The following is a 9,617-nucleotide window of genomic DNA, read 5'->3' as shown; positions in this document are numbered from 1 at the left end:
GGAGGCTGAGGCAGGAGAATTGCTTGAACCTGGGAGGTAGAGGTTGCAGTGAGCCGAGATCACACCGTTGCACTCCAGCCTGGGTAACAAGAGTGAAACTCTGTCTCACCAAAAAACAAAAACAAAACAAAACAAAACAAAACAAAACCAACCTAAAAACTAAACTGCAAGGAAGGCCAACAAACTTATTTTTCTCATAACAATTGCTTGGATGCTTTTTTAAAAAAGTAAAATTAAAATAATCAGTGTGAACAAAATGATCCTTTTGTTTTCTGGTTTCTTGTCTTCCTCTGCCCCCCATGCCCTGGCCCCCTGCCCCCTGCCAGTTGGTTGGGGCCACTAGCCGGCAACACCTACACTTCTGGTCCCCCAGGCCCTTGGTGCCCAGTAGCCTGGGAGCACTTCAGGAGCCTTGGCTCCCAGGCCCTGCCCTGGCCTCGCCCTCTGCACCCTGACAGTCAGTAACTTTTGCTGAATGAACAAAATAATGCTTACATCAACTTTAGGCTTTTAGAATCCATTAATCCATTCTTTTCCAAGCAAAGGTGGTAATGAAAATGGAAAAGAAAACCATTCCAGAAAGAAGACAAGGAAGAGAGTGGAAACATATTGCTGTAAAATACACTGCCGTTTCAGACACCAGGAGCCTCCTCCAAGTCATTTCTTTCCCTTTGCTGGCCCTGGTGGCTTGCCAGGTTCTGGTGGCTTGGCGGGTTCTGGTCCCTTGCCCTGCTGGGGTCCTTTTTCCTTTCCTGGAGGAGGAACCAGCATATGCTTTTTGGCCTTCTTGCCTCTGAAGTGGTTTCTTTGAAGACACACATCGATAAAAGCAAAAACTCCAGCCGCACCAATAAGGATCTGGAAAACAAAACGGTCCTCATGACTTTTGCTTTTCATTCCAAAGGTGGTGAGTTTCCCTCCTGGTTTCTCATTCATCAGGGGGTGCTGTTTCACACATCCCCCATGTCCCCTCAAATGTCAACCATCTCTGAGAGGCTAGGAGCGTGCCTACTCCCTCAGCCTTTGCCTTCTCCACTCCCCCGTCCTGCCATCTCATCTCTGTTTCTTTTCTCTCTTGAAACCCAGCCAGAGTGGGACTGTTTGCTCTGGGGTCGGCAGCTACAGGAAGGAACTTGGGCTGGCTCCCCGGACATCATCTTTATTTAAATGGTGGTTCCGTTGGAAACATCTGTCTACTTTACTTTTTTTTTTTTTCCTTTGAGACGAAGTCTCGCTCCGTCGTCCGGGGTGGAGTGCAGTGCTGCAATCTCTGCTCGCTGCAACCTCTGCCTCCTGGATTTAAGCGATTCTCCTGCCTCAGCCTCCCAAGTTGCTGGGATTACAGGCATGTGCCACCATGCCTGGCTAATTTTTGTATTTTTAGTAGAAAATACATTTTCTACTAAATTTTGTAAATTTTGTGTTTTTGTATTTCACCATGTTGGCCAGGCTGGTCTCAAACTCCTGACCTCAGGTGATCCGCCCGCCTCGGCCTCCCAAAGTGCTGGGATTATAGGCATGAACCACTGCACCCGGCCTACTTAACTTTTAAACTTTGCTTTGATCCCAAGACTTTTGTGGAAAATAAAGAAGCCCTTTCCTTAAACAGAGGACAACACCCATCCTCCAAAAGAAGTGAATTCAGAGCAAATGCAAGGCCCAGCATGGAAAGACTCACCACAGCAAGTAAGTAGTGGAGATTCATGGATCGCCGACTTCTCACAGCAAAGACCACGGCTCCCACAAGGAACGCACAAGCAATCAGGTCGTTGAAGAGGTCCTGAAGGTGGAGAGGTTAGTCAGCCTCAGCCAAAGCCAGGGTCCCCATCAACAAACACTGCACCCTGGCTAGCTTCCTCCAAAGGAATGATTTGCAAATTTCCACCTGATTTTAAAATGTATGCATAAAGATAAACACACACCGGGCTAGGTGGACATATCTGTGGCCCTCCAGCTGGGCTTTTTAAATTGAAACCTAAAAAGTCCAGGATGCTAAAATGCCCTCGTGCTGAAGCCTGTGAAGTCACCAGCCCCCTCTTCTACCATCTCTCTGTGAAATCACACATTTGGTTTCTGCCTATGTCTCCTCCCACTAATACTCATTTATTATTTTTATTTTCTACTTTTTGAGACAGGGTCTTACTCCGATTATGCAGGCTGGAGTGCAGTGGCACAATTTCTGCTCACTGCAGCCTCGACCTCCTCAGGCTCAGGTGATTCTCCCACCTCTGCCTCCTGAGCAGCTGCGACTACAGGTGTGTGCCACCAAGCCTGCCTAATTTTTTTTTTGTGTGTATTTTTAGTAGAGACGGGGTTTCACCATGTTATCCAGGCTGGTCTCGAACTCCTGGACTCAAGCGATCTGCCTTCCTCGGCCTCCCAAAGTGCTACGATTACAGGTGTGGGCCACAGCGCCCAGCCAATACACATTTAAATAAATACACAACTATAAAACGTCATGATGTCCCTCTTAAGGACCCCACCACCGCCTTTCAGCTCCCAGGACCAGCTCCCCTCTCTGGAGTCTGGGTGGGCTGCACTGGCTCTGATGGACTCTAGCATCTCACTGGGAGCCTGGCAGCTTCTTCTGCAACCCCCTGCCCTCGGCCTGACTTCCTAGACCCCTTCCCCTCTTTGCAAGGCAGCACCACCTCTTCCTTCCTCAACCCTCCTGCCCATCCCCTGTGACTTCAGTCTCGCCCTCCCCATACCATATACGCATTTCCCTCCTGCTAGTGACAAGGCATTGCCAAACTTCTCAGAGCTGGCCAAACCATGGCCATAGCAGGCTGGCTTCCTCCCGCATTTCTCCTGGGCCTAGAGGATGGGGTGAGAAGCAGCTGATCCTGCAGCGCTGGAAGACACCTGCCATCCCCCTTGGTTTCTATAGTGCCATTTCCTGCTGTTGTCCTTTCCTGGCCACTTTGTTTCAGGCCTTTTCCTTTTTAATGTTTTGAATTTTGATACATTTCAAATGCCCAGAAAATAATAGAACATCCTATCCCCGACTCCCACCTCCACCAGGCCAGGAGCCACTGACATTTAACAGATGTTAACGTCTTGCCAACGTCCCCTTTAGGCCTCTTTGAAAACAAGAAGTCCAACTTCACGGATGGAGCTGCAGCCCCCTCGCTTCCTTCCCTTTTCCTGTCCCTCATGCCTCCCTCCTCCAACTTTTGGAAGCTGATGTGCAGTTTTCCTGTCTGAATTTGTGCTTTTCTACATATTATATATTTATAAACAATGTATACTATTTTGTGTATTTCAAAATACACTTTTTATATTTAAATAAAAAGTATCCTACCTTTCAATGCTTGCTTTTTGACTTTTGAGATTTATCCACATTGAGAAATATAGATTTATTAATTTTAACTGATGTAGCCTACTATATGAATGAACGAAATGAGACACAGGGTGTTTCTACCACTCACTGCAGTCTTGAACTCCTGGGCTCAAGTGATCCTCCCCACCTCAGCCTCAGCTGGGACTATAGGCACCTGCCACTGTGCAATTAAAAAAATTGTTTTTGTAAGCTGGGCGCAGTGGCTCACGCCTGTAATCCCAGCACTTTGGGAGGCTGAGGCGGGCGGATCACCTGAGGTTGGGAGTTCGAGACCAGCCTGACCAACATGGAGAAACCCCGTCTCTACTAAAAATACAAAATTAGCTGGGCGTGGGGGTGCATGCCTGTAATCCCAGCTACTCAAGAGGCTGAGGCAGGAGAATCACTTGAACCCGGGAGGCAGAGGTTGCGGTGAGCCGAGATTGCGCCATTGCACTCCAGCCTGGGCAACAAGAGCAAAACTCCATCTCAAAAAAAAAAAAAAAAAAATTGTTTTTGTAGAGGCAGGGCTTCCCTGTGTTGCCCAGGCTGGTCTCCAAGTCCTGGACTCCTGGACTCAAGTGATCCTCCTGCCTTGGCCTCCCAAAGTGTCGGGATTATAGGTGTGAGCCACTGTACCTGGCCTATGATGTCTTCTGTTGAAGTTTTAATTTTAATGGGATACATAGTCTGTCTCTCTCCCTCCCTTCCTCTCTGTCCACAAATCCCAGGGACATTTATTGAATATTCTATTCAACTGTTCTATAATGCTACCTCCGTCATATACCAAGTTGCCATATGTTTGTAGATCTATTTCTGAGTTCTCTTTTCTATCCCTGTATTAGTCTACTCAGGATGCCATAATAAAATATCCCAGACTGGGTGGCTTAAACAACAGACATTAACTTTCTCGCAGTTTTGGAGGCTGAAGTCCATGAGCAAGGTGCCAGGAAATTCAGTTTCTGGTGAGGGCTCTCTTCCTGGCTTGCAGATGGCTGTCTTCTCACTACGTTTTCACATGGCCTTTCTTTGATGCGTGCGTGTGTATGTGTGTGCATGTGTGTGTGTGTAGAGAGAGAGCAAGCGGGAGAGAGAATTCTCTGCTCTCTTATAAAGATACTGGCTGGGTGTGGTGGCTCACACCTGTAATCACAGCACTTTGGGAGGCCAAGGCAGGCAGATCACCTGAGGTCAGGAGTTCAAGACCAGCTAGGCCAACATGGCAAAACGCTGTCTCTAGTCAAAATTACAAAATTAGCCGGGCTTAGTGGCGCATGTCTGTAATCCTAGCTACTCAGGAGGCTGAGGCAGGAGAATGCTTGAACCAGGAGGTGGAAGTTGCAGTGAGCTGAGATTGTGCCACTGCACTCTAGCCTGGGTGACAAGAGCAAAACTCTGTCTCAAAACAAACAAACAAAAGACACTTATTTGATCAGGGCCCCAATGTTCTGACCTCATTTAACCTTAACTACCTCCTTAGAGGCCCATCTTCAAGTACAGTACAGTGGGGGTTAGGGCCTCAACGTATGATTTTGCAGAGTGGGAGACACAAACATTCAATCTGTAACAATTTTGTTAGTCTTCTTGTCAATCCCTGAGCTAGTACCAAAGCTTTATGGTAAATCTGATATCTTGTTGGGTGAGTCCATCCTTGTTAGTATTTTTTCTTCTTTGATAAGAATTTTAGAATCACCTTGTAAAAGTGCCATGAAAAACCCATGTTAGGTTGAAATTTTATTTAATTTATAGATTAATTCAGAATTGAATTGACATCTCTATGATAAGTTTTCATATTTGTGAATGTGGAATGTTTCTCTATTTACATTTTCCTTTGATGTCCATTACTAAAGTCTTATAATCTCTATGTAGTGTCTTACACATCTTTCAGTAGGTTTATTCTTAGACACCTTGTAGTTTGTGTTGCTGTTTTAAGTGATTTCTTTTAAAGAGCATTTTTTTTTTTTTGAGACAGTCTCGCTCTGTCACCCAGGCTGGAGTGCAGTGGCTCCATCTCGGCTCATGGCAACCTCTGCCTCCTGGGTTCTAGCGATTTTCATGCCTCAGCCTCTCGAGTAGCTGGGATTACAGGCATGCACCTCCATGCCTGGTTAATTTTTGTATTTTTAGTAGAGCTGGTGTTTCACCATGTTGGCCAGGCTGGTCTGGAACTCCTGGCCTCAAGTGGTCCACCCACCTCGGCCTCCCAAAGTGCTGGGAGTACAGCTGTGAGCCCCCGTGCCCAGCCAAAAAAATCCTATGTTTCTCATTGTTCATTGTTGGTATTCAGGAACACTACTGCTTTTGTGTCTGGTAACCTTGTGGAACTCAATCAGTTCTAGTGATTTGACTGTAGATTCTCTTAGATTTTCTGTGTAGATAATTCTATTAGATTTTTCCTCTTGTCAATCTCTATACCTTTTGTTTTTCTTGTCATATTGAACTAAGGTCTCTATCACAATGTTGAATACAAGAGAAGCTAGTAAGCATCTCTAAGGAAATGCTCCTGAAGTGTCACCTAAAATACAATTTGTGCAGGTTTGGATAGATGTCTATTTTATTTTATTTTATTTATTTATTTTTTGAGATGGAGTCTCACTCTGTCGCCCAGGCTGGAGTGCAGTGGCACGATCTCGGCTCACTGCAAGCTCTGCCTCCCGGGTTCATGCCATTCTCCTGCCTCAGCCTCCTGAGAAGCTGGGACTACAGGCACACATCACTGTGCCTGGCTTCTTGACACCTCTTTTATTATTTTTTAGACAGGGTCTCACTCTGTCACTCAGATTGGAGTGCAGTGGCACCATCAGAGCTCTCTGTAGCCTTGACCTCCTGGGTTCAAGCCATCCTCCCACCTCAGCCTCCTGAGTAGCTGGAACAACAGGCATGTGCCACCATGCTTGGCTAATTTTTAAATTTTTTTGTAGAGACAGGGTCTCCCTATGTTGTCCAGTCTGGTCTCAAACTCCTGGACCAAAGGGACCCATCCACCTCAGCCTCCCAACGTGCTGGGATTACAGGTGTGAGCCACCACACCCAGCCCAACAACCACTGATGGATGTTCTCACTCATTGTTCTGTCTCAATCTCTTATTTTCTCTCTCTCTGTGTGCTGTGTTCTGGGTAATTTCCCCATACCTTTCAGTTAACAGTTCCCTCCTTCAGCTATGTCTGATCTGTTTTTGAATTCATCTATTGACATTTTTATTTCAATAACTATATTTTCTATTCTAGACACTGTACTTTTTAAAAATCTGTCTATTTTGTCCTCATAGTGTCTTACTCTTTTCTCAGGACTCTTATGTCTATAATCCCTTAAAATATATTATTATTTTCAGACAGCTCTTCTATTATCTCATATTCTCAGGATTCTAATCCATTTGTTGTGTTTGTTGATTCTTAGTAATGGGGATTTTTTAAAATCAGGTGTTTAGTAGTTTTGAATTATTAGTTCATTTTTGACAAGGTTTTCCCCCCACCCCCACTGTGAGAATCTCTTCATGCCTTGATTGTGATTTTGCATTTGTTTCTATCAGGAGTCCAAGGATATCAGCAGAATGTCATCAGACTGGGATCAGTTTTTATGGTAATTCCCAGGGATGAAGGTTTCTGGGCTGCATGAAGGTTTCTAGGCTGCAGATAACAAAAATTCAAACTCCAATCTGTACAAAGGGCAGGCTTAAGCTTTCTATTTCTCAAGGAAGACTTCCTCTCCGCCCACTCAAAGCTCAGGCAGAGATGAACATGTTTTCTTATTCCTCTGTGTTGGGAATAAGAAGGGTATGTGTCTTTGTCCATCTTTTCCCTAAGGAGGTAGTCTTTCCAGGGCGCTGGCTTTATACAGGGTTTTCAGTTCTAAATTCCCACTTTGCTTAGGATCAAGGCCTTATTTCCTGACTTGAGAGTGCATGAAAATCCAGGCTGTAGGTTCCTGAGACAATACCTCTTGGACCATTCCCACTCATACTTTGTAGCTTATGTGATCACTGCCCTGTTTGCCATTTCTGGCGCCTGTGTGTTTTCATTTCTTTTTTGCCAGCTCATTCATTCAGTTAAAGCAATACTGGTTACATTTCCCCTGGTATTTTTAGGTAAGCACAGTGGGAAGATGTTCAGGGTTCATTGGTTTTTCATCTTGCTGGAACTAAAAATGTCTTCTCAGGCTCCTTGTTTAGGAACTTGTCCTCTGCCTGTCCTTTTACCTTGTCCTCTGCTTGTCCCTTTTCTGAGAGTCCTTATTTGGCCCTCCTGTCCTTTCTCCCTGTATCGGAGGTCCTCATCTGCTTCACCAAGACCTCTGGATCCCTGGACCCTAATAGTTTTTAACAAGAAGGCAGGATGAAATGTACTCATAAAGCTAAGTTTGAAGCTTTTTTCTGCTACTTACCAGCTGAGTGACCTGGGGGCAAGTTACTTGGCCATTCTAGGCCAATTTCCTCATGTGTAACGTGAGTGAAACAGTGAACAAGAGGGCTCTGGAGGCAGGCTGTGAATGTGCAATGAACAAAGGGACTTGGGAATTGGGGTCTTCATTGACTGGCAAGGGGTTAGGTGGTTGTGCCCTGTGGTTAAACAGGTGATGGGCAGGGATTCAATTCCATGAGTCCTCAGGCACGGTGTCAAGCAATTTACATTTAATCCTCAGGATTGAATGTCAGTTCTGCAAGGAATGTGACTGTCTCATGTTACAGATGAGGAAACAGGCTGGGAATGGTTTAGTAACTTGCCCAGTTCTGTCTCTTTCCACTAGATGACTGCTTTGGGCTGAACATCCTTCTGATCCAAACATCCTTTATAGGGATATTCACTGGAGACCTAACGCTGCTTTAGAAGTGATTTTTAAAAAAAATTCCCATTTTGTTTTATTTTATTGACTTATGGGAGAGTAATTTTCTTCTTTGAATTTTGGGAATGGGGTCCTTCTGGGGTGATCTCCTGTCAAGTGTGAGCTGGCACAGGAGTTCGGAGGAACAGCTGGTTGCTACACCTCCCCTTCCCCTAAAGAGAACAAAGGCTCAGGCCCTCTTTGACCACCAGGTAAGTAAGAGTTCCCCACTCTCACTCCAACACACAGATAGGCTTTTTGGAGCATTTTCTGCCTAGCTACCCCTCTTGCACCCAGCTGCCTCTGCCTGGGCCCCACTGATGTTCTGAGTCCCTGACCCAGGCACAGATATGGGAGGTGAGGTGTGTCTCTCTGTTTGGTGACTTTCCAGGTGCCAAGACACACCTGATCAGCATTCTGGATGCAGGCACTCCCCATCACCCCTTACTTACAGAAATGGGCCACAGGATGAAGGGTATGTATCTATGAATGGCAAAGCTGTACAGTAAGATGAAGAAGCTGAAGAAGGATATCTCCATGGTGATGATAAGCCTCAAGATGGGGTGCACGGTGAGTGAGGACAACAGTATCATTGCAGCTATTAGGCAGCCCTGCAGTGAGACATAGACACCTGAGCCAGCAGCAAGGGCCTTTCACCATCTCTCTGAGGACCCCTGGAGCCTACTCCTCCTTCCCCCCACCCTCGGCCAAGGCCCCCCACCCAGGGATACCAGTTTAGCTCACCAAACTCCGAATCTTGATCTCAGCGTGCCCCAAGAGCCAGAACTCTTTATTGCTGTCTTTTAATTCCCACCGGTAGCGGCGACACCCCCTCCTCGTGCCCACTTCGTGCTTGGGCTGCACCGCCTTTTGAGGTTTGTCCGATGGCTCCTTATGGTCCTGCACCGCCTTTTGAGGTTTGTCCGATGGCTCCTTACCGTCCTTCTTGTCTTCCTCGGGTTTGGCCCCGGGTGGAGGTGGAGCTGGTGCTGGCTCTGGCTTGGCCCCCTTTGCCGCCTTAGGTGCCATGACTGACTCGGTGTCCTTGGCTTCTCACAGCTGGCCTGTTTCTTCTCTCTCCTGCTGTTTCTGGGTAGGCCAGGCCTACTAGAGTGCCTGGTGTCCACCGAGCGGCTCAGAGGGCGTGCTCAGCTAACTGCCAGGACCACCGAATGCCAACTCCCGCGCCCTCTCCACGCGCGCCCGTCTCCTCGCGCAGCTCCCATCCGCCCGGCAGCGGCCGGATCCTCCCACCCTCCACGCGCCGGCCCCCGACGGGCCCCAACTCCGTTCCCAACCCGCCGGTCCCACCTCCGCGCGGAGCTGCCCTCGCGGTCCCATCCCGGCGTCTCCAGGTGGCCCCAGGTCTGTAAGCCGCCGCTCCGCTGCGGGGTCGGGGGGCTGCGAGCACCGGGTCACGGCCCTGAGCTCCGCGGGCGCAGCGCCAAGCGCAGGAAAATACAACGCGACTTTCACA

At 47.4% G+C, this 9,617-nt stretch overlaps 1 protein-coding gene across 2 annotated transcripts; it reads right to left on the bottom strand.

Moving 5' to 3' along the window:
- Window positions 1-501: 501 nt before the first annotated feature.
- On the bottom strand, window positions 502-9,314 carry CMTM2 (CKLF like MARVEL transmembrane domain containing 2). Of its 2 annotated transcripts, NM_144673.3 has the most exons (4): window positions 8,885-9,314; window positions 8,593-8,751; window positions 1,679-1,780; window positions 502-858 (listed from the first exon to the last, which is right to left on the bottom strand). In NM_144673.3, exons 1-4 carry the CDS (start codon window positions 9,167-9,169, stop codon window positions 658-660), a joined length of 747 nt encoding a protein of 248 aa, NP_653274.1. In that variant the 5' UTR covers window positions 9,170-9,314; the 3' UTR covers window positions 502-657. The 2 variants fall into 2 exon arrangements, with proteins under 2 accessions (NP_653274.1, NP_001186246.1); NM_001199317.2 differs by lacking the exon at window positions 8,593-8,751.
- Window positions 9,315-9,617: the final 303 nt, after the last annotated feature.

This window comes from Homo sapiens, chromosome 16, assembly GCF_000001405.40.
Source record: "Homo sapiens chromosome 16, GRCh38.p14 Primary Assembly".
Classification (NCBI taxonomy): Eukaryota; Metazoa; Chordata; class Mammalia; order Primates; family Hominidae; genus Homo; species Homo sapiens.
Note: the sequence above shows the minus strand (reverse complement) of the source record. Positions and strands in the feature narration are given on the sequence as shown.

Bases quoted from the DNA above. Each gene is read 5' to 3' on its own strand.
- CMTM2 (NM_144673.3), bottom strand. From the start codon at position 9,169: ATGGCACCTAAGGCGGCAAAGGGGGCCAAGCCAGAGCCAGCACCAGCT. The intron at 8,752-8,884 runs GTGAGCTAAACT...GTCTCACTGCAG, and splicing joins AGATCAAGATTCGGAGTTTG to GGCTGCCTAATAGCTGCAAT. The intron at 1,781-8,592 runs GTAAGTAAGGGG...CTCCACCTTCAG, and splicing joins TCATCCTGTGGCCCATTTCT to GACCTCTTCAACGACCTGAT.